The sequence below is a fragment of the Homo sapiens genome, chromosome 17 (assembly GCF_000001405.40).
Source record: "Homo sapiens chromosome 17, GRCh38.p14 Primary Assembly".
Taxonomy (NCBI): Eukaryota; Metazoa; Chordata; class Mammalia; order Primates; family Hominidae; genus Homo; species Homo sapiens.
This window is the reverse complement of record NC_000017.11, coordinates 46,207,199-46,232,273: the sequence shown is the minus strand read 5'-3', so window position 1 is coordinate 46,232,273 and position 25,075 is coordinate 46,207,199. Positions and strand designations below refer to the sequence as shown.

Sequence of the window (25,075 nt, the reverse complement as noted above, 5' to 3'; positions counted from 1 at the left end):
GGTTTCACCATGTTGGCCAGGCTGGTCTTGAGCTCCTGACTTCGTGATCTGCCCACCTCGGCCTCCCAAAGTGCTGGAATTACAAGCGTGAGCCACCGCGCCCTGCCTGACTTGTGGTCTTTTGAGATTATTTCTGATGTCCCATAGACATTTCAAAAGCAAAATGTCAAAAGCTACACTTGCCTCTCAAACCTTCATTCTCTCTGTGTGATAGGCACCCTCCTTCCCATCTTCCTTCGCTTCCATGGGTCACTCAAAGCTGAAGACCTGCAAGCCATCTCAGGATCCTGTCCTGTATCCCATCAACACTCATCACACCCTCTCAATTCTGGCTCCTAAATACCCCTTGGATTTGGCCTCTCTTCCCCGTTCCCCACTGGCATTGTTTTATTTCAGGTCTTTATGATTTCTTGCCTGGGTTTCTGCAGCAGCCTCCTAACTGCTCTCCCTGACTCCAGTCTTGCCCTCTCTGTTTCATTTTTCATATTGCACACAGGGTGATTTTTCTAAAATATAAATGTGACCACATCTCTTGCAGGCTTAAAACCTCTCAAAGGTTCTTCACCCCCTCAAGGCTGCAGCACACACCTCCCAGCACAGCTCTGCAAGTTGACCCCGCCCTTCTTCTCCATCGGTGGTTCTCAGAGTGTAGCCCTCCGAGCAGCAGCACTCTGACCCGCTCCATCAAGATCTCTAGGCTTGGAGCTTGCGAGACTATGTAAACAAGGCCAGTTTTTTGTTCGTTTGTTTGTTTTTTGGAGACAGAGTCTCGCTGTGTCACTCAGGCTGGAGTGCAGTGGCTTGATCTTGGCTTACTCCATCTCCACCTCCCAGGTTGAAGTGATTCTCCCGCCTCAACCTCCTGAGCAGCTGGGACTATAGGTGTGCACCACCACACCCAGCTAATTTTTGCATTTTTAGTAGAAATGGGGTTTCAGGCCGGGCGCGGTGGCTCACGCCTGTAATCCCAGCACTTTGGGAGGCCAAGGCGGACGGATCACGAGGTCAGGAGATCGAGACCATCCTGGCTAACATGGTGAAACCCCGTCTCTACTAAAAATACAAAAAAATTAGCCGGGCATGGTAGCGGGTGCCTGTAGTCCCAGCTACTCGGGAGGCTGAGGTAGGAGAATGGCGTGAACCCAGGAGGCGGAGCTTGCGGTGAGCCGAGATCACGCCACTGCACTCCAGCCTGGACGACAGCGAGACTCTGTCTCAAAAAAAAAAAAAAAAAAAAAAGAAAAAGAAAAAAAAAGAAATGGGGTTTCACCACATTGGCCAGGCTAGTTTCGAACTCCTGACCTCAAGCGATCCGCCCGCCTCGACCTCCCAAAGTGCTTGGATTACCGGTGTGAGTCACTGTGCCCAGTCAACAAGGCCAGTTTTTATGCACATTTAAGTTTGAGAACCACATTGCAGTTAATCTCATCTGGTTTCCTTTCTTGAACTCCATGCTTTAGCCTCATTGAACCATCAGTTTCTGGAAAGTGGTATATTATCCCTCACCTTCTATAATTTGCACATGCTATTCTCTGCCCTTATCCCATGGCAATGGCTTTGTCTGCTTTTATCCATATTCCCCACCTTTGTGGAAACTGGAAGGCAGGGTCACCACCTTATTCATCTTTACATCTTTAGGGTCTTGGACCTGACATACAGTAGGTGCTCAATAACTATTTTATTTCTCTCTCTCTTTTTTTTTAGAGATGGGGTCTCACTCTGTCACCTAGGCTGGAGTGCAGTGGCTCAATCATGGCTCACCTCCCCCCTCAACCTCCTGGGCTCAAGCAATCCTCCTGCCTCAGCCTCCCAAGTAGCTGAGACTACAGGCACTCACCACCATGGCCAGCTAATTTTTAATTTTTTTGTAGAGATGGGGGTCTTGTTATGTTGCCCTGGCTGGTCTCCAAATATTGGCCTTAAGTGATCCTTCCACCTCAGCCTCCCAAAAGCGCCACTGCACTACAGCCTGGGCGACAGAGTAAGATTCCATCTCAAAAAATAAAAATAAAGATAATACACACACACATATATACACATACACCTCTTTATTTCTTCAGCGAGACCTGAAGATATATATCCATAATATAAGAACAGGATGCTATAAAAAATGAACAATAAGAAAACAAGAAAAACTATTATAAATTAGAAATATGATAACCAAGGCTGGGTACGGTGGCTCACGCCTGTAATAGATTACAGGCGTGAGCCAGTGAGCCTGGCCATTCAATAACTATTTTCTTAATGAACATTGAGGGTGAGATGAGCAGAAACGTAACTGCTAAAAGCAGGCAACATTCAGCTACCAGGATTTATGAGGGAGAACACAGTAAACTGTGCTATTACTTAGGAATACCTAGAGTCAATGTACATTTATTTTCATTTTACTCTAGCCCCACTGGTGATCTCTGCCCAGTAATCTAACTAAATTGATGACAGTGGGAATGAAAGGAAATCATAGATATGTATTATTGTAAAGGAAAAGAAATGCAAATGAATGGGTACAGGGACAGTCTGTACAATTGAAGATCTCATCTCTTCATATATATATATATATATATATATATATATATATTTTTTTTTTTTTTTCAAGACAGGATTTTAGCACCTACTATTTGCAAGACTCCCCCTATGTTAACCTTTACAGCAACTCTCGGAGGGATGTTTTATTATTGAGAGAACTGAGAGACAGAGGTCATTAAATATTTGTCCAAGATCCTACAGCCGCAACATGGTAAATCCACTGCTATTGGAACTTCCTGTTAAGTGAGTTCCATGGCCCCAAACTGCATTCCCACCCATGTTGCTCACAGATTGGTCACAATGTGGCTCACAGTCATAGGCACAGGTGAATGGATCAACCATTATTTTCGATAATGATTCTGGGGTATCATCTTTGACTCAAAAACGCAAACTGTTATTATTATCTATGCAGTCTACAGCCCTCTGCTCTACCAGCTGAGCTATCGAAGAGTGCACAAGCTGTTATTATATCACAAGATTTTTTTTTTCAGACAGGGTCTTATTCTGCGGCCCAGGCTGAAGTGAAGTGGCTCGATGGTAGCTCACTGCAGCCTTGAACTCCTGGGGTCAAGCGATCCTCCTACCTCAGCCTCCCAAGTAGCTGAAACTACAGGCAGGCACCACTATGCCTGGCTGACTTTTGTATTTTTTGTAGAGACGGGGTTTCGCCATGTTGCCAGGCTAATCTGCAACTCCTGGGCTCAAGCAGTCTGCCCACTTCACCCTCCCAAAGTGCTGGGATTTCAGGCTAGAGCCACCATGCCCAGCCCACAAGATCTAAACGCTACTGTTGAAGCAAAAAGACTTGAAGACAGAATTTGCCCTCCTAATATAAGCCCATGGTAACCTGAACCTCCTTCACCCTAACTCTCATCACAGTGTATTGTGATTGCTTATTGAAGATGAAATTTGATTTTCCTTTTTGATGTTACTTCTCCAGCACAGTACCTGGTATGTGGAAGGCACTCAAACTAGGGCCAACCTGGTGCCAGCTAACCTGGGACTAGTGCAAGCTCCTGAAATTCACCTGGTCAAGGGACACATGTTCACAGGATCTCCTGGGGTTGTGTCACCAAAAAAAAAAAAAAAAAAATTTCACCTGGTGTCTCTAGTCACCATGATTTTCTCTAAAATGCCACACAGAATTCTATGTATGGAATTTTTTTCTTTTCTTTTTTCTTTTTCTTTTTTTTTTTTTTTTGAGACAGTCTGTCGCCAGTCTGGAGTGCAGTGGCGTGATCTCGGCTCACTGCAGTCTCCTCCTCCCGGGTTCAAGCGGTTCTCCTGCCTCAGCCTCCCAAGTAGCTAGGACTACAGGTCCGTGCCACCACGCCCAGCTAATTTTTGTATTTTTAGTGGAGATGGGGTTTCACCATGTTGGCAAGGATGGTCTAGATCTCTTGACCTTGTGATCTGCCCGCCTCAGCTTCCCAAAGTGCTGGGATTACAGGCGTGAGCCACCGCGCCCGGCCAAAATTTTTTAAAAATAAGGAAAGTTCAAGTTTACTTTAGATACCATAGTTCAGGATTTAAACTCCTGTCCTTACTTTGGAATGTCATTTTAGATACTTATGTGATTGACTGAGGAAAAAGACATTGTAACTGATCTTATCCCCTTTAAAAAAAAAAACCAGCTAACAATTATTCATTTAGTCTTCTGTACATTGTGTGAAATAAAATATAGAAGACTAGGGGACAGTTTCTGCCCTCAAGGAGCTTATGTGGTTTTTTTCGTGCGTTTTTTTGTTGTTGTTGTTTTGTTTTTTTTGTTGTTGTTGTTTTGACAGGTTCTTACACTGTCACCCAGGCTGAAATGCAGTGGTGAGATCTCGGCTGACTGCAACCTCTGCCTCCCAGGCTCAAGCGACCCTCACCTCAGTCTCCTGAGTAGCTGGGACTACAGGCATGCACCATCATACCCAGCTAATTTTTGTGTGTGTGTTTTTGTAGAGACGAGGTCTCGCCATGTTGCCCAGGCTGGTCTCGAACTCCTGGCTTCAAGTGATTCACCTGCCTCAGCCTCTCAAAGTGCTGCGATTACAGTCATGAGCCACCTCACCCCGCCAGTCAGGCTCTTAAAAAATCCATCACACAGGCCGGGCGCCATGGCTCATGCCTGTAATCCCAGCACTTGGGAGGCCAAGTCGGGCGGATCACGAGGTCAGGAGATTGAGACCATCCTGGCTAACACGGTGAAACCCCGTATCTACTAAAAATAACAAAAAATTAGTCGGGCATGCTGGCGGACGCCTGTAGTCCCAGCTACTCAGGAGGCTGAGGCAGGAGAATGGCGTGAACCCGGAAGGCGGAGCTTGCAGTGAGCTGAGATAGTGCCACTGCACTCCAGCCTGGGAGACAGAGCGAGACTGTGTCTCATAAAAAAGAAAAAAGAAAAAAAAATCCATCATATGTATTCACTAATTTAATCTTCACAACAACTCTAAAGGGTAGGAACTATTTTTTTTTTTGCCCCATTTTACAGATATGAAATGAGAGGCTGTGTTGAAGGTGTTTTCTGGGGTTGATTTAAATAGAATTAATAAACTCAGAAAAAAGATTCTTAATCGATAAAGGTGTTGTTTTTTTTTTTTTTTTTTTTTTTTTTGAGTCGGAGTCTCACTCTGTCATCCAGGCTGGAGTGCAGTGGCGTGATATCGGCTCACTGGAACCTCTGACTCCCTGGTTCAAGCAATTCTCCTGCCTCAGCCTCCCGAGTAGCTGGGATTACAGGCATGCGCCACCATGCCCGTGGTTTCACCATGTTGGCCAGGATGGTCTTGATCTCCTGACCTTGTGATCCGCCCACCTTGGCCTCCCAAAATGCTGGGATTACAGGCGTGAGCCACCGTGCCCGGCCTTGGCTTTCATTCTTATTGTCCCATGGTTACCAGAGCCTAAAGAGGTAAAGAGGTAAGACCTATGAGGCTCTCACAGTTTGTTTGTTGTTTTTTTTTTTTTTTTTTTTTTTTTGAAACAGGGTCTCACTGTGTCGCCCAGGCTGGAGTGCAGTGGCGCGATCTTGGCTCACTGCAGCCTCCGCCTCCCGGTTCAAGCAATTCTCCCACCTCAGCCTTTCCAGTAGCTGGGATTACAGAGGCGCGCCACCACGCTTGGCTAATTTTTTTTTTGCATTTCTATTAGAGATCGGGTTTCACCATGCTGCGCAGGCTGGTCTCGAACTCCTGACCTCAGGTGATCCACCCGCCTTGGCCTCCCAAAGTGCTGGGATTACAGGTGTGAGCCACCGTGCCCGGCCTCTCTCATAGTTTTATTATTCTATTTTCCACAGACCCTTCCTCCCTTAATTTTCATGCCTCTTTAATATTGTTTCTTTTACCTCACTGACCTTCTTTTTCGTCCTCCTACCTTTTACTGTGGGTGTCTTATTACCCTTCTTTGGGAGTTTATCCTTTAGCATGTCATAGATCACTATCTTTAGGCAGAGGACCCTGCATCTTCTCTAGTCCTGATTGTCTACCCTCTCTCAAGTTCCATAACTTCAGTTGCCTCTGGGACACCTTCACTGGGTTTTACAAAACCCTGTTACCGGGAGCTGAACATATTAAAAGCTAAGATTCCTCCCCAAATCTGCATGTTGCGCCAATTTTCCTGCCCAATTATCTTGTCTGTCCCCTGGTTTTGCGACCTTATTTAAACATTTAAATCCTTTTCTTTAAATTGGAATCTTGATGAATGGTGCAAAAATCAATGGATACAAATGATATGCCGAGATATGTAAGTCTTCCGCCCACTGGTTCCCTAGGCACTCAGTTCCTCTCCCAGGAGGTAACCACTGTTGCCAGCTCTTAGAGTGATTTTTGATTCCTTCTTCTACCGGCTCTATCTCAAGTCCTTCCCTGTCTGTGAGATGTGTGCCCTTTCCTTTCCAGGCCCTAGTGAACTGATATCTGGTTGAGTTTATATATAAACATTTTTATGTGTATATTTTATATACATATATAACATCTCTCCCTATGGCCTTCCGGCCTGGAGTTTTCATCACGTCGCTTCCTGGATGAAAGAACCTCGAGGGGTGAGGGGCAGGGGTTGGGGGTGATGGAGAAGAGAACCTAAAGGGGACTTAGGTAGGGCGTTCAGAGTGGCCAACTGGCGTGACGCTCTGTCAGGATTCCTATTCCTATTCCTCCCACCTCAGGCCCCCTTCTAGTCCTCTCAGCCAAAAGCCTCTCGTTTCCAAGGGCCGAGACAGAGACAGAGACAACGAGATACACAGAGACAGAGACGCCAAGGCACCAGCATCCCTCTCCCCCTTCTGTCCCGCCCCATCGCTCTGACGGACACCATTGCTCAGCCAATGGCGCTCACGATGTGCCCCTGAAGGGCCAATGGGCGCCAGAGGAGGGCGGAAGATTCCCCGCCCCCACTTCTAGGCTTGGTTGAACCGTGCAGGTAGGTCCGGGGCTGGGGGAGCTGCCTTTGGCACTGGTGCCCCTGGGGGTGGGGGCACGAGTGGGCCAGGGTGATGGTGAGGTAGAGGAGGTGTCCCTGACCCGACGAGCTCGAGGGAGCGGCCCGGCTGGGAGGCGGGGGGCCGCGGGGCCCGGGGAGCGGGCGCCGCCGAGGGCCCTGGAAGCGGCGGGGCTGGGGGAGAGGGGACGCGTGTGTGGGGCACGGGGACCCCCGCCCAGCGCCCACTCGTAGGCCTGGGACGCCGGCTGCCGGCCGACTGGCCTGAGGGCCTGGCTGCCCGGGGGGCGGGCCGGGGCCGCGGCCGGGGGCGCGGAGCGGACCTCGGGGCGCCAGGCCGAGCCGAGGTGGGACGGACCGACGCGGAGAGGAAGGGAAGCCGCATCCCGCGGGGCGCCCCTCCTGAAGCGAGCCGGGCAACGGCCGCGGGCGCCCCTGCCCTGAGCCCACCCCGCGCTCTGCCCTCCCTAACAATGGGAATGGGGCAGAAGGAGGCGCCCCACTGCGGGGAGGTGAGGGGTGGGTTTGGGACTGGGGTCCGCGGTGGGGGGAGGTGCGATCTCGGGCTCTCGCCTCTCCGCTCCCTCTGGCTCTGGAGTTGGGGGCCCCTGTGGGGCTCTGAAGTCCGCCTGAGACTTGGGTCAAGAGTCAAACTGTCGCCCCCCGCTCCTCCCCCAAAATCCGGTGAGCGGTAAGGAAAGTGATGCCAAGTCTTCGAAGCCTCAGTGACAAACGCATAGCAAGAACACATCCACTCCAGAGGTGTTTATTTTTTATTTTTATTTAAAAAGGGGTACTTTTCGACATTTATTTTTAAGAAGTGGGTGCTGTTATTTTTGTCCCTACGCAGGCAAGCCTCCATTTTAAGCGAAGCAGTAACTGGTTAAGCTGGAATTGTATACAGGCCCAGGACTTGAACGAGGATCCTACCAGAGGTCATTTAGTCCATCCTCCTGCCTCCAGGCAAATTTACCTTCCTCCCACCCTCAAAATTAAGTTGCTCGGTCTGCTTTTAACGATCTCTGGGGAAGAAGGGTCTTTTATTTGTTTCTAGTACTTCAGTCAAGAATAGGTTTTACTTTTCATGTGGAATTGACTCTGAAACTTAAGCATAATCTTGGGACAGTCGGGATGATTAGAGAAGTTTTACTTTACTAAATATAATTAAATGTGGCAAGGGTCTTTCTTTAGACGGTTAGTTAACAAATCACGTTTAGTGTTTATGAAGTACCCTGGAAAATTACTTTATTCTCTCTGGGATTTTGGCTAATTGTTTGATAAGCAATTTTACATTATCTAAAATACGTGTTACATATTTATTTCTCTTTTTATGTAAAGTATGTTTCTACACACATATATATGGAGACACACATTTGCCCTTTTCTAAAGGGGACTGTATTTTCTATACTTTTTTAGTGCGATGAGGCAAATAGTACTTCAAAATCCCTGCCCAGGTAGCTTAAACTATTTGCATTGTCTTGATTATTTTTTAGTCTAAATGAAAATCCTCTCTTTCAGATACCTTCTCGAAACAAAAGATTTTCCTACCTGCTTATACTTGGTAACCGAGGGAATTACTAAGACTTCTTGCTCATTTCTGAGTATTGTCTTTATATCCTGACACTATGAATGCTACTTGGATGCCTCTTAAGGTAAGATGTGTTATTTTTTCATTACCAGCCTCATTTTATTCATTTTTCTTTAGAATTGGGAATATTGTAGTTTTTGAATTTGCTATTCTTCACTTCCTTTACCTGCCATTTCTCTTGCCTCTTGTGTTTGCTTCCTAGGATTGATTGGCTATATTTTACTTTGTATCTCTACTGTTCTTTGATTATCGGTGTGAATGTTTTAATGAAGTTCTCAAATTAACTTCCATTATAATGAAAGGCAGTGATCTTTTTAACTTTAAATTATGGCAACTTACATAGTTGTAAAATTATGTTCCGGTCTTAGGATGGGTTGGCAATTCAAACATCTAGGTCCACTTTTCAAACAGGTACTTTAGAGTCATAGGTACTAGGGTGTGTCCCACTCTTGCAAATCAGTAGCTGATTCATGTGTTACAAAAGATGTGTCATTAACCATTTGTTTACTCTGAAACTTCATATAGTATATTAGGGCATTCTAAGACCTGCTGGTTTACACGTATGACTCTTTCAGAGTCCTCCTGCTGCACCCCAGTCCTTTGTGTGACATTTCATACTATTTTTCTCAGCAGGTAGCACTTACACCAAGTTTTATTTCACAGGGTAAACCTCATTTGGACAGTGTGGACAGATGACCTTTAGATGAAAAAGCTCCCATTGATGTGGTTCTCCAGTCTCTTTGGCTCCTCTAATCTCTTGTACATAGATGGCCAAAGAACTCTCCATTAGGACTAAGCAAAGGGCAGAGCTTAAGACTTAAGTAGGTGGCTTCTTTGATTTTCTTGTGACTAAAAATACATTAAAAAAAAAATTAAATAAAAACAAACAGAAAAGACGTAAGGAGGGGATGGGAGGAAGGACAGAGAAGGATAAGGAGTCTTGGAAACCCTCCACCAGCTTCGCCTTTCTTCAGAGTAGGATACTAGCTTAGTTAAGATTGTTGGGTGCTAATCTGCTCTGTGGACTTCCAGATTGATGCAGAGGAGAAATCAGACAATAGTGCAGTGTGTGTAACCTAAATATCTGGACTTGTGGGAAATCTTAGGTCATGTAGGCTGAGTTCTCATCTTCATTTATGTTTCAGCTGCTATTGCTGGATAAGAGTGCTTATATTAATATACAGGAAGCCAAAGTGACACAGTTTTTCCAGCATTCTCCCTGTAGAGTTGGAGGGGTTGCATGGGGAATGCAACCAGAAGTTCTGAACCCGTTAAGAATCAGAGGACCTGTGTAAGAGTGTTTCGACTTAGCAAGTGTTGAGCACCAGTGTTGGTGGCCTCTGTCCTCTTTAGGAAGCAGGCAAGGGGATTGAGATCAATACATTGGATTTCATTTTATAGTTTCCTAGGTTTTAACGAATGTATTTGGTACACAAAGCCCTACTTTTAAAGATATTTCCAGTGTTTAAGGTTTTACCTCTAAATCTCTCTGAACCTGGGTTGTAATACAGTAACCTCAGAAGTTCTACTAGAGGTCTCTGGCATGGCAGGAATAGAGAAAGGAAATCAGCTCCATATCGTGAGTTACCACCTGTTACTACTTAAGAATGCAGTTAGGTGGTTGCCTTAATATTATGTTCCTTACCAATCCTTTGCTCAGTGGGAAACATCTTCTAAGTGTAAACCAATTTTGGGGGGTAATGTTTTCTTCCTATTTTTATTACTTAGAAACCTTAAAAATTACAGTGTTCGTCTGGTCAGAAAAAAAGGTCCTTTTTGCGGGGAGGATAGCATTGAGTTTGTGGGCTGGAAAATAAAAGTGGGGAGAGGGAACTTTATTCTCTTTTTCATTGGTGAATATCCTTAAAACATTTCTAAGATGTAGTTTCAGATTGGAGCTACTTAATTTAAGTAAAAAGAAATGATAGGTTAATTAAAGTGCATATTTTGGAGCCCAAATGTTTATTTTATATAGATCTTATATTTTGTTTCCAATTATCTTATTGTAGAATGAACTCTGTCGTTCTGTCAGGCATTGCGTAAATGTTAGACTGAGTATGTGCTTGTTTCCATGCGTATAGAAAATAGCGTCACACTCACTCAGTCTTCACAAATGAAAATGCCAGAGGAGGCAAGTAACAAGGAAGAATAACTCCAAGCCAAAACTCCTCAATTTAAGGCACTCTCGTTAATTAGAAGTTCTCATGGAAATTATTATTTATCCCTTTTTCTCTGTGTTAGGGGTCTGTACCTTTTTAAAGCCTGAATATTTCTAGCCACGACTAAGCAATGTCAGTGATGTTACTAGGGTCTAGTTGTCAGGGTTAGGGCTAAGGAGTGGGTGAGATGGGAGAGGAATAGGGAAAGGAAGGAGAATTGAGTGAGTCGGAGAAAAGAGTGAAATGAAGATGAGGAGGAGAGAAAAGATACAGGGTCTTTAGTGTGTAGCATGGAGCCATCATCAGTTGTTTCAGGTAGTTCTTAGGGCTGCTGGATGCCTTGTGTGCTAGACTGAACTATGGTGAAATGAAGTAAAAACTGTTCTTGACAAGCAAAACGAGAGAATTAAAACATAATTTAATATGATATAGAAAGATCTGCAAGGCAGACAGTTAAGTGATGAAAGCAAGATGCAGAACAGTATGTATGATTTGATACCCTTTGTGTTTTTTGGAAAAAAAAAAACAGGAGAAAAAGATAATTTGCATTGGTGTATGTATGCAAAAAAAAAAAAAAAAGATCTTTAGGGCTGGGCATGGTGGCTCACACGTGTAATCCCAGCACTTTGGGAGTCCAAGGTGGGTGGATTACCTGAGGTCAGGAGTCTGAGACCAGCCTGGCCAATATGGTGAAACCCCGTCTCTACTGAAAATATAAAAACTAGCTGGGGCATGGTGGCACACACCTGTAATCCCAGCTACTTGGGAGGCTGAGGCAGGAGAATTGCTTGAGCCCGGGAGACGGAGCTTGCAGTGAGCTGAGATCACGCCGCTGTCCTCCAGCCTGGCTGACCAAGCGAGACTCTGTCTCAAACAACAGCAACAACACAAACCTTTAGAAGAATAAATAAGAAAATGGTGGCACTGGTTACCTGTTAGGTCTAGGAATTGTTCAGGTAGAGGACAGAGTAGGAAGGAGACTTCTCATTGCATTATATCTTTTTACACTTTCTGATGTTTGTATCAGATTTTAAAAATTAAATAGAAAATTGAAAATTTTAGCTGGGCGCAGTGGCTCACGCCTGTAATCCCAGCACTTTGGGAGGCCGAGGCGGGCGGATCATGAGGTCAGGAGATCGAGACCATCCTGGCTAACACGGTGAAACCCCGTCTCTACTAAAAATACAAAAAAATAGCTGGGCGTGGTGGCAGGCGCCTGTAGTTGCAGCTACTTGGGAGGCTGAGGCAGGAGAATGGCGTGAACCCGGGAGGCGGAGTTTACAGTGAGCCGAGATCGTGCCACTGCACTCCAGTCTGGGCGACAGAGGGAGACTCCGTCTCAAAAAAAAAAAAAAATTTTAAAGAACAGCATCTCAATCCTTCCTTTTCTTCTCTTTCTGTGTCTGGAAGTCAGAGAAATGGCAAGGGTTCTAACTGAGAGAATAGTTTTTTTGTTTTTGTTTTTGTTTTTTTGAGACGGAGCCTCACTCTGTCACCTAGGCTAGAGTGCAGTGGCGCAATCTCGGCTCACTGCAAACTGTGCCTCCTGGGTTCATGTCATTCTCCTGCCTCAGCCTCCCGAGTAGCTGGGACCACAGGCGCCCGCCACCACGCCCGGCTAATTTTTTGTATTTTTAGTAGAGACGGAGTTTCACCGTGTTAGCCAGGATGGTCTCGATCTCCTGACCTCATGATCCGCCCAACTCGGCCTCCCAAAGTGCTGGGATTACAGGCGTGGGCCACCGTGCCCAGCCGAGAGAATAGTTCTTGAACAGTGGTTGAGGGGATACACACGCAAAAGGGCCCATAATCTAGGACATGTGTTCTCTTGGGATCTTCAAGAATTTTGAATTTATAGATGTATATTTCTAGTATTGAACTGCAAAGTCAGGCATTAAAAAATTTAACTTGGCCAGACGCGATGGCTCACGCCTGTAATCCTAGCACTTTAGGAGGCTGAACAGGCAGATCGCTGGAGCACACGAGTTTGAGAACAGCCTGGGCAACATGGCAAAACCCCATCTCTACTAAAAATACAAAAGAAAATTAGCCAGGCATGGTGGTGTGCACCTGTAGTTGCAGCTACTTGAGAGGCCTAGGTGGGAGGATGGCTCGAGCCTGGGAGGTGGAGGTTGCAGTGAACTGTGATTGCGCCCCTGCAGTCCAGCCTGGGTGATAGAGCCAGACCTTGTCTCTTGTCTCATTAAAGAAAAAAAAAAAATTAACTTGTTCTTAAAGTTTTAGTAAAAACAGGTTTTCATTGTATATCCCCTTAAGTTAGCAATTAGATATAATCTCAGCATTCTTCTTCCTTTTTTTTTTTTTATGAGACAAGAGTCTCGCTTTGTTGTCCAGGTGATCTTGGCTCACTGCAACCTCCACTTCCTGGGTTCAAGTGATTCTCCTGCCTCAGCCTCCCAAGTAGCTGGGATTACAGGCACCTGTCACCATGGCCAGCTAATTTTTTTTTTATTTTTAGTAGAGATGGGGTTTCACCAGCTTGGCCAGGCTGGTCTTAAACTCCTGACCTCAGGTGATCCACCCGCCTCGGCCTCCCAAAGTGCTGGGATTACAGGCATGAGCCACCGTGCCCGGCCTAATCTCAGCACTCTTAACCGTGTGACTTTGGGCGATTTTCTTAATCTCTCTGAGATTCAGGTTCCTCCTTCATACTGGAAATAATAACACTTACTTCAGAGGACTTTTGTATTATATCTGTAAAGGACATAGGGCAGTGTTTGGTTCAGTGGACTACTACTGTTCTTATTGTAATTACTAATTTTTTTTTTTTTTGAGATGGAGTCTTGCTGTGTCGCCCAGGCTGGAGTTCAGTGGCACGATCTCGGCTCACTGCAACCTGTGTCTCCTGAGTTCAAGCAATTCTCCTGCCTCAGCCTCTCAAGTAGCTGGGATTACAGGCGCATGCCAGCATGCCCGGCTTATTTTTCTATTTTTAGTAGAGACGGGGTTTCACTATGTTGGCCAGGCTGGTCTCAAACTCCTGGCCTCAAGTGATCCACCCGCCTTGGCCTCCCAAAGTGCTGGGATTACAGGCGTGAGCCACCACGCCAGCTCTTATTGTAATTACTGTTAATAATAGCTCCTCATACACTAGTGGTGAGAGAGAGGGCTCTGGCTATGTGATACTGGGTAAGCTCATTAACCTCTTAGAACCTTGGTGTCCACACTGTAAAAAGGGTATAATGATAGTACCTAGATCCTAGAGTGGACTTTATAAGGATTAAATGAGTTTATTCACGCAGAGTGTTTAGAACAGCACCTGGTAGGTACTTAGTAAACCTGAGCTGCGAATTTTCTTATGACATCTGTTTGCTAAGGCTGCTGCCACAGAGTGACATATGCTGAGTGGCTTAAATAACAGAAATTTATTGTCTCCCTGTTCTGGAGGCTAGAAATCTAAGGGCAGAGGCATGCTTTCTCTGAAGCAACTGGGACAGGATCTGTTTCAAGCCTCTCTTCTAGCTTCTGGTGGCAGCATAACTCCAGTCCTTATGTAGAGTTCTCCCTGTGTGTATTTCTTTTGTTTTTTTAGACAGAGTCTTGCTCTGTTGCCCAGGCTGGAGTGCAGTGGCATAATATCGGTTCACTGCAACCTCTGCCTCTCAGGTTCAGGTGATTCTCCTTCCTTAGCCTCCTAAGTAGCTGGGATTACAGTCACGTGTCACCATGCCCAGGTAATTTTTTGTATTTTTTGTAGAAACAGGGTTTCACCATGTTGCCCAGGCCGGTCTTGAACTCCTGACCTCAGGTGATCTGCCTGCCTTGGCCTCCCAAAGTGCTGGGATTACAGGCATGAGCCACAGCACCCAGCCTAAATTTTGTATTTTTTGTAGAGACAGGGCTGCACCTTGTTGCCCAGGCTGGTCTCAAACTCCTGACCTTAAGTGATCTGCCCACCTCAGCCTCCCAAAGTGCTGGGATTACAGGCGTGAGCCACGGCGCCCAGCCTCCCTGTGTGTATTTCTTTGTGTCCACAATTTCCCCTTTTTTATAAGGACAAGTCATATTGGGATTAGAGTCCTCTCTGATGACCTCATTTTAACTTTATGACCTCTTTGAAGATCCTATCTCTTTTTTTTTTTTTAGAGTCTCTCTTTGTTGCCCAGGCTGGAGTACAGTGGGGTGATCTCAGCTTACTGCAACCTCCTCCTCCTAGGTTCAAGTGATTCTTCTGCCTTAGCCTTCCAAGTAGCTGGAGTTACAGGTGCTCGCCACCGTGCCTAGCTAATTTTTACATTTTTGGTAGAGATGGGGTTTCACCACATTGGCCAGGCTGGTCTCGAACTCCTGACCTCAAGTGGTCCACCCACCTCGGCCTCTTAAAGTGCTGAGATTGCAGGCGTGAGCCACTGCACCTGGTCTGAAGATCCCGTCTCTAAGATCACATTCTGAGGTACTGAATGTTAGGAGTACTACATATCTCTTTTTTTTTTTTTTTTTTTTTGAGACAGGGTCTCCCTTTGTCATTCAGGCTGGAGTGCAGTGGCACTTGGATCACTGCAACCTCCAGCCCCCTAACCCCTGGACTCAAGTAATCCTCCCACCTCAGCTTCCTGAGTAGCTGGGACTACAGGTGCACACTACCACATCTGGCTATTTTTAAATATTTTTAGTAGAGATGGGGTCTTGCCATGTTGCCCAGGCTGATATTGAACTCCTGAGCTCAAGCGATCCTGTGGCCTTGGCCTCCCAAAGTGCTAGGATTACAGGAATGCGCCACTGTGCCCAGGCCCCTGGAGTACTACATATCTCTTTTGGGGAACACAATTCAGCCCAGAACAGGTGTATATCATTTATCATGGGTACTAGACCCTCGACACCTACACATAGGAAATGAAAATTTTGGTGCAAATTGATAGCATGACTTAAAGAAGTAGATTATTTATTTAGCTTCTCATGTATTTATCTTTAACAAGATTTTTGTTTTATCTTTGAAACTTTTTTTTTTTTTTTTTTGAGACGGAGTCTTGCTCTTTTGCCCAGGCTGGAGTGCAGTGGCGTGATCTCGGCTCACTGCAACCTCCGTCTCCTGGGTTCAAGCAATTCTCCTGCCTCAGTTTCCCCAGTAGCTGGGATTACAGGTGCCCGCCACCACATCTGGCTAATTTTTGTAGTTTTAGTAGAGATGGGTTTCACCATGTTGGCCAGGCTGGTCTCGAACTCCTGATCTCAGGTGATCCACCTGCCTCGGCCTCCCAAAGTGTGTGAGTCACCAAGTCTGGCCCATACTCTTGGTTTTCTTTGCAGACTTTTTTCCTCTTTTGCTCCTAAAAACATTAGTATTTGCCTTCCCTTGACCCTTCTTCCTCTCACCCTGTGCAGTTTATGAGGAATGCCTTAGATAAACTTGTGCCTCACTTGCCGTCTATATGCCGATGATTTGCAAATGTGTGTTTTTCCAGCTCTGACTAGTTTTCTGATCTCCAATCCCATATACACAGTTGCTTCCTGGACATCTCTACTTGGATGTCCTATGGGCATTTTATTTTATTTTTTTATTATTATTATTACTATTGAGACGGAGTCTCGCTCTATCCCCCAGGCTGGAGTGCAGTGGCACGGTCTCGGCTCACGGCAGCCTCTGCCTCCCAGGTTCCAGCGACTCTCTTGCCTCAGCCTCCGGGTAGCTGGGATTACAGGTGTGCGCCACCACGTCCGGCCAGTTTTTGTATTTTTAGTAGAGATGGGGTTTCACCATGTTGGCCAGGCTGGGCTTGAACTCCTGACCTCAGGTGATCCACCTGCCTCAGCCTCCCAAAGTGCTGGGATTACAGGCGTGAGCCACTGCATCTGGCCATCTTATGGGCATTTTAAAATGATCTTATCCACTTCCCCAGTCCAACCTCTTCCTATCTTCGTATCTTAGTGAGCGGTAGTGTCACCCAGCCAGTCACTCAAATCAGGGATTTGAGAGGCCTCTGGGTTCCTTCTTGTGCCATTCTAGTCACCACATTCTTGAGATCCTAGCTCATAATATTTTCCTAGTCATCCTACTTCTCCTTTTTGAGTCCAGACCTTCATCGCCCTTTTGGCTGCGTGACCTTCTGTTGTCTTGTAATCATTCTCCTTGACTGCTTTCTCTCTTCCAAGTCGCTGCCAACATGATCCTTGTAAAATGCATGTTCAAGCGTATGATCATATCCCTCCCTCTTCCACCATGGCTCAACTAGCTTTGAAGGTAGAGTTGAAATGTTTTGCCAGATCATCTCTCCACTTCTTCCTGAGCATCCTGTACGCAGTAGTACAGATAGCTTGTGCCCAGTTCCTTCTGTGAACCCTGTTGTTCTTTGCCTCTGGGTCTTCACACAAGCAGTTACCTCTGCTTAAGATGGACTCTACCCTGTTCTGGAAACTTACTCCCCCTAGTCTTTAATAACAGTAGTGGCTGGTCCAAGTATATTGGTGTTTACTATTAATTGATCACAGCCAGTTACAGATTTCTTTGTTCCTTCTCCACTCCCACTGCTTCACTTGATTAGCCTTAAAACAAAATAACAGTAGTGATAATAGTAATAACAGTAGCTGACACTGAGTGCTTCCTCTGGACCCAGGTATTATCACTTTATGATCAGAGTTCATAAAGAAATACAAATGACCAAGAAGCATATGAGAAACATTTTTATTCTGATAAATAATCAAAGGAATGCAGATTAAATGACATACTATTTTTTACCTATCAGATTTGCAGTTGACTGTGCTGTCAAAGGTGGTAAGGGGACAATCTCTGAAACTGTTAGTGTGTGTGCATGTGAGTGTGCATATGCAGACCTAGCACTTCTATTGTACTGATTGCTAGTTTGCTCCACTTTGAACCCAGCTAGTGTCTAGGTTCTTTGAGAGTGAGGACTTGCTCTTGTCTTTTATCCTCACTGCTTGCTGTTTTTGTTTCTTTTTTTTTTGAGACGGAATTTCGCTCTTTGTTGCCCAGGCTGGAGCGCAACGGCGCGATCTCGGCTCACTGCAACCTCTGCCTCCCAGGTTGAAGTGATTCTCCTGCCTCAGCCTCCCAAATAGCTGGGATTACAGGTGCCTGCCACCACGCCCAGCTAATTTTTGTATTTTTAGTAGAGACAGGGTGTCACCATGTTGGTCAGGCTGGTTGCGAACTCCTGACCTCAGGTGATCCACCCCCCTCAGCCTCCCAAAGTGCTGGCATTACAGGCGTGAGCCACCATACCCGGCCATCACTGCTTGCTCTTGATGGCACTTAGTAAATGAGTGTTAAAGACTGTATTGCTGGACTTGGGACATGCATCTTTAGGAGGGTATCAGTGGAAAAGCTGAGAGTCACATGCATTTGCCAGTCTTGGCCTTACTCTTTGGATCTATTGGTCCCAGTCTGATAAGTGCAAGCAACTTTGGAATAAGGATTGCCAAGAATTAAGATTTTTAATACTCTTTCTTTGAATGCTAAAGGGCAAAAGTGTTTTTGTTGTTTTTGCTTTTGGAAAAAGAGAACTAGTTTGCTGACCACCCAGTGTCATTTGGTAATTTAGAGTGTTTTCACATAGTTAAAGTATAGGGAAATGAATATTTAGGTCTGTGATGTTTATATGTGCCAGGTAGTATATTTGGCAGGGAATTGATTTTTAGAATTGTTTGTGACATTAGTTCTTGCATATTAGTTTTTTTTTTTTTAAATGGAGTCTCACTCTGTTGCCCAGGCTGGAGTGCAGTGGCGCAGTCTCGGCTCACTGCAACCTCCACCTCCTGGGTTCAAGCAATCCTCGTTCCTCAGCCTCCTGAGTATCTCGGACTACAGGCACGTGCCACCACACCCGGCTGATTGTTATATTTTTAGTAGAGACAGGGTTTCACCATGTTGGCCAGGCTGGTCTTGAACTCCTGACCTCAGGTGATCCACCCACCTCGGCCTCCACAAAGTACTGGGATTACAGGTGTGAGCCACTGCACCCCGCCTAGTTCCTGCACATTAGAAAACGTTTGGGCCGGGCACGGTGGCTCACGCCTGTAATCCCAGCACTTTGGGAGGCCGAGGCGGGCCCATCATGAGGTCAGGAGATCAAGACCATCCTGGCTAACATGGTGAAACCCCGTCTCTACTAAAAAAAAAAAAAAAAAAAAAATTAGCCGGGCGTGGTGTTGGGTGCCTGTAGTCCCAGCTACTCGGGAGGCTGTGGCAGGAGAATGGTGTGAACCCAGCAGGCGGAGCTTGCAGTGAGCTGAGATCACGCCACTACTCTCCAGCCTGGGCCACAGAGCGAGACTCCGTCTCAAAAAACAACAACAACAACAACAACAACAAAAAACAAATAAAACGCTTGTCCCCCTTGCCTTCTCCATCACAGCTCTGTTAAGTATGAGTTTAGATACACAGTATTTTCTTTTTTATTACCGTGTATAATTTGTATTTGTAGCAGCAGCCCAGAAGACAGGCAAGCGTATGGTTCTAGCTCACTTTTTTTTACTGGGCACTTGATGGTGGTGGTAATTTATCTGTCAGCAGGGGGAGCTGCAGTTGCTGATATTTAAATGATTCCATCTCAGCTGGTTTTCCACAGAAAGTTTGTCGGCCAAGAGAAAGAAAAGTTTTGCTGGCAAAGAACATGATCAGAGTTCATAAGGAAGAAATACAAATGACCAAGAAGCATATGAGAAACATTTTTATCCTGATAAGTAATCAAAGGAATGCAGATTAAATGACATACTCTTTTTTTAACCTATCAGATTTACAGTTGACTGTGCTGTCGAAGGTGGTGAGGGGACAATCTCTGAAACTGCTAGTGGAGTGTGCATTGGGCCTAGTTTTTTTGAAAGATATTTTGGCAACATATATTGGCAAAATTAAAAACGTTCTTTAATTCAGTAATTGCACATCTAGGAATTTATCCTAAAGGGGAAAAATTAAGATACATAGAAAGATTTGTGAACAAAGATGTTCATTGTAACATTATTCATATTAGTGAGAATTGAGAATAAACCTAAATGAGCAGCAAGATTTATAGGAAAATAAATCATGGTATATTTAAGGATGGACATTTACAACCATGGAATAGTATTTGAAAGAATTTTTCTGGCCGGGTGCGGTGGCTCATGCCCGTAATTCCAGCACTTCAGGAGGCCGAGGTGGGCGGATTATGAGGTCAGGAGATCGAGACCATCCTGGCCAACATGGTGAAACCCCATCTCTACTAAAAATACAAAAATTAGCTGGGCGTGGTGGCACGTGCCTGAAATCCCAGCTACTCAGGAGGCTGAGGCAGGAGAATTGCTTGGACCAGGGAGTTGGAGGTTGCAGTGAGCTGAGATGGTGCCACTGCACTCCAGCCTGTTGACAGAGCAAGTCTCTGTCTAAAAAAAAAAAAAGAATTTTTAATGTCTTAGGATGTTGAGTAAATGATAAATGAAAAATTCAGGGTGCAGAGCTATATAAGGAGCATTCTAAGTGTATAAAGATAAGGAATGTATATATGTTCTAGTATAATATGTATGTATATATTACACACACATACATACTGAGGTAAAAGAATGGAAGGAAGTCTATACCAACCAGCCTCCTTGAGTCTGTCTGTCCGGGGTCTGTCCAACCAATTGTTCTGTCTAAATTGGCACCAAGTGATGTTTTCAGGTGAAACATTGTTATCTGTTAAGATGTTAACCTCAGAAATTTAGGGCCTCACGTCTGATAGCACTTCTATCCTGTAGGACCTGAATGGACCTAATATACCTACATTTATCCGAGCACTTGAATCTATTTTTAACTTGTAGATTGTGGTAACACAATCCACAAGTTTCTTTTATCTGTTATATAAAGAAATACTTTTCAAGCATAAAAGGTGAATAAATTAGTATTTACCATATTGATACGTTTTCTGATTTTGATCACATTGCCCCTTTGCTTTCATGTTTCTCAACTGAAGATGCTTGACTTTTTAATTTAATCTCCAGTGAAACCTCCTTCCAGGATCTTTGTCAGCATTGCTTTCCCTTTCTGGATTTATGATAACTACTCAGAACTGCATTTTAGTTATAACTACACTGTGATTTGGTAGAAGGATAAGAAAATATGTTCTATTTACAGCAAGCTTGTCCGACCCATGGCCCACAGGCTGCATGCGGCCCAGGACAGCTTTGAATGTGGCCCAACACAAATCTGTAAACTTTCTTAAAACATTATGAGATTTTTTTTAAGATTTTCTTTTTTAGCTCATCAGCTATTGTTACTTTAGTGTATTTTATGTGTGGCCCAAGACAGCTCTTCTTCCAGTGTGGCTCAGGGAAGCCAAACGATTGGGTACCCTTGATTTACAGTTTTTTCCTAATAGGATTTGGTCCTCCCTCCCTCCCTTTTTTTTTTTTTTTTTTTGCATAGAACATCACATTGTCTTTAGGGAATATTCTATAATTATTCAAAAATTCCTTTTTTGACTTGAAGGCATGAGTCTTTTAAGTATAGCTTAGATTTTTTTTCCTGTAAATGCCTTACTTTTCATTTGTCCATGCTGTAACATACCTGCCATTTCCTCGCATGTAATTTTTTAACACTCATATCTCAGTGGGCTCTTAGAGGTAATCCAAGGTAAGAACCACCTTTTTAGTTAGGTCTGATGGTTAGAAAGCTTGAGTTGAAGCGTGCCCTTCTGGAATTGCCACTTTGGGCCCAATTTTGTCTACACGGGAACTGCTTAGAGCAAGTCTGGTTTGTCTTCTGCTAGATAACCCTTCACATATTTAGACAGCTTTTATACTTGCCAAAGCATTCTCTAAGCTGAATATAAATCTTAGTTTTTGCAAATGTTTCTCATTTAATATATTTAGAAACCCTTTCCATCACTCCGTTCCCTTATTTTTCCAACTCGTGTGGTATTTCATTATTAGGAATCTCATCATCCCATCTGCAAAATGGGGAATTCTCTGTATATTTTTTGTACAATATATTAAAATGTTAAATATAGCATTTCTAAAAAAATTTTCAATCTTCTGTTTTTACTTCTTCATTTGGGGAAGTACCTCAGCATCTACCTATAATTTTCTGTGTCTCAGTTATGTCCAGTCTACAGTAAATGTTCTCATCCTGTGGCCACTCAGGTCTTTTTTTTTTTTTTTTTTTTTTTTTTTTTTGAGACAGAGTCTCACTCTGTTGCCCAGGCTGGAGTGCAGTGGTGCGATCTCGGCTCACTACAACCTCCGCCTCCCGGGTTCAAGCGTTTCTCCTGCCTCAGCCTCCCGAGTAGCTATGACTACAGGTGCTCACCACCACACCCAGCTAATTTTTGTATTTTTAGTAGAGTTGGGGTTTCACCATGTTGGCTAGGATGGTCTCGATCTCCTGACCTCATGATCCACCCGCCTCAGCCTCCCAAAGTGCTGGGATTACAGGCATGAGCCACCGTCACCCAGCCACACATATTTATTTTCTCAGAGAATTTGGGTGAACTGGTGTGGTGTGATGTCCACTTTTAGAATCCATGTTGTCTTTTCCTCAGAAGGTTATTCATGCTGATATGTCTTCTGAGCCCATCTTTATTAGAGATTTGCTAGTTTGGGCAGTTTGAAGTTGCAGCCTACTTGAGTAGATGGAAGTTACTTTGATGACAGCATTTTTTTGTTCGTTTTGGTTCAGCACATACTTATTGAGTACCTAATATGTCAGAAGTTGAGCAAGGAAAATATTGATAAAGGAAAAGTGGATTCTATCCTCCTGGCATTTAGAGAAGGTCACTCATATGACCGTCAGCTAATATGTTCTGTCCTGCAGTTTAATAATTTATACTTAAATGCCTTTAAAACACAGAGAAGGGGCTGGTCGTGGTGGCTCACACCTGAAATCCCAGCACTTTGGGAGGCCGAGTTGGGTGAATCACTTGAGGTCAGGAGTTTGAGAACAGCCTGGGTAACATAGTGAAACCCTGTCTCTACTAAAAATACAAAAATCAGCCAAATGTGGTGGCACATGCCTGTAATCCCAGCTACTTGGGAGGCTGAGGTGGGAGAATGGCTTGAACCCGGGAGACAGAGGTTGCAGTGAGTCGAGATGGTGCCACTGCACTCCAGCCTGGGCAACAGAGTGAGACTCTGTCTCAAAAAAACAACAACAAAAAACCCATGGAGACTATTTTGGGTCTTCATGACTACCTGACATCTGACATATCAGTTTGAGGAATTTAGTATATTTAATGATGCATTTGATTCACTATTAGAGATTTGTATGCTTATTAAGAGTAATTTAGATAGCTTTTCCCCTCTACCTTCCCCAGTAAATATCGAAGCAAATAAGAATTATATAATATCAGCTGTCTTGCTTTTTATCAATCCCACTTATCAAGTGACCCATCCAGTTTTATTTGGCATCGAGCTTTTTATGTATTTAAACTGTCTCTTAGGTGACTTTGCATTTTCTTTTTTTTTTGAGATGGAGTTTTGCTCTTGTCACTCAGGCTGGAGTGCAATCGGCGCAATCTTGGCTCACTGCAACCTCCGACTCCCGGGTTCAAGCAATTCTCCTGCCTCAGCCTCCCAAGCAGCTGAGACTGCAGGCATGCGCCATCACGCCTGGCTAATTTCTGTAGTTTTTGGTTTTTTTTTAGTTGAGATAGGATTTCACCATGTTGGCCAGGCTGGTCTCGAACTCCTGACCTCAAATGATCCGCCCCACTCGGCCTCCCAAAGTGCTGGGATTACAGGCGTGAGCCACTGCGCCCGGGCTGCATCATTTTGTTGTAAGGTTTTTTTTTTTTTTTTGAGACGGAGTCTTGCTGTGTCGCCCAGGCTGGAGTGCAGTTGCAGGATCTCGGCTTCCTGCAACCTCCGCCTCCAGGTTCCTGCACCCTCTGTCTCCGGTGGGCTGAGCTGAGGTGGGACAGACTGACGCGGAGAGGAAGGGAAGCCACCTGGCCTGAAGATCCTGTCTCTAAGATCAGGTTCTGAGGTGCTGAATGTTAGGAGTACTACATATCTTTTTTTTTTTTTTTTTTTTTGAGACAGGGTCTCCCTCTGTCATCCAGGCTAGAGTGCAGTGGCACTTGGATCACTGCAACCTCCAGCCCCCTAAACCCCAGGCTCAAGCAATCCTCCCATCTCAGCTTCCCGGGTAGCTGGGACTACAGGTGTGCACTGCCACACCTGGCTATTTTTTTATATTTTTAGTAGAGCCGGGGTCTTGCCATGTTGCCCAGGCTGATATTGAATTCCTGAGCTCAAGCGATGCTGTGGCCTTGACCTTCCAAAGTGCTGGGATTACAGGCATGTGCCACTGTGCCCAGCCCCTTGGAGTACTATATATCTCTTTTGGGGAACAAAAGTCAGCCCAGAACAGGTGTATGTCATTTATCATGGGTACAAGACCCTCAACACCTACACATAGGAAATGAAAATTTTGGTGCAAATTGATAGCATGACTTGAAGAAGTAGATTATTTCTTTAGCATCTCGTGTATTTATCTTTAACAAGATTTTTGTTTTATCTTTGAAACTTTTTTTTTTTTTGAGACGGATTTTTGCCTTTCACCCAGGTTGGAGTGCAGTGGTGTGATCTTGGCTCACTGTAACCTCCGCCTCCTAGGTTCAAGTGATTCTCCTGCCTCAGCTTCCCCAGTAGCTGGTATTACAGGCGCCTACCATCACACCTGGCTAATTTTTGTCTTTTTAGTAGAGACGGGGTTTCACCATGTTGGCCAGGCTGGTCTCAAACTCTTGACATCAGGTGATCCACCCGCCTCAGCCTCCCAAAGTGCTGGGATTAAAGGCATGAGCCACTGTACCTGGCCTTTTTGTATTTTTTGTAGAGATGGGGTTTTACCATGTTGCCCAGGCTGGTCTCAAACTCCTGAGCTCAAGCAGTCCCCGCACCTTGGCCTCCCAAAGTGTTGGGATTACAGGCCTGATCCCCTGTGCTCAACCTGATGAGATCTTTTCATGTGCTTATTGGCCATTCATATATCTTCTTTGGAGAAATGTCTATTTAAATTCTCTGCACATTTTAATTTTATTTTTATACACTATTGTTTTTTAGGCTAGGTCTTGCTCTGTCACTCTGGCTAGAGTGCAGTGGCCAATCGCAGTTTTCTTTTCTTTTTTTTTTTTTTTGGAGATGGAGTCTTGCTCTGTCACCCAGGCTGGAGTTCAGTGGCACTATCTTGGCTCACTGCAATCTCTGCCTCCTGGGTTCAAGTGATTCTCTGCCTCAGCCTCCCAAGTAGCTGGGATTAGAGGCACCCACCACCACGCCCAGCTAATTTTTGTATTTTTAGTAGAGATGGGGTTTCACCATCTTGGCCAGGTTGGTCTTGAACTCCTGACCTCATGATCCACCCGCCTTGGACTCCCAAAGTGCTAGGATTACAGGCGTGAGCCACCGCACCCGGCCCAATCATAGTTTCTGGAACTTCAAACTCCTG

General features: G+C 44.9%; 1 protein-coding gene across 17 annotated transcripts in view; it reads left to right on the top strand.

Moving 5' to 3' along the window:
• The window catches only part of KANSL1 (KAT8 regulatory NSL complex subunit 1), a 195,452-nt gene continuing 177,283 nt past the window's right edge, over nucleotides 6,907–25,075 (top strand). For 14 of the 17 annotated variants that reach the window (NM_001405885.1, NM_001405884.1, NM_001405883.1 and 11 more), the window contains exons 1-2: nucleotides 6,907–6,933; nucleotides 8,470–8,603. In NM_001405885.1, coding sequence (NP_001392814.1) covers nucleotides 8,581–8,603 — 23 coding nt within the window. In that variant the 5' untranslated portion in view covers nucleotides 6,907–6,933; nucleotides 8,470–8,580. Of the gene's footprint in view, nucleotides 6,934–7,362; nucleotides 7,714–7,802; nucleotides 7,887–8,469; nucleotides 8,604–25,075 lie in introns of those variants that run through there. The other 3 variants (XM_011524628.4, NM_001405854.1, XM_047435794.1) reach the window with 3 other exon arrangements.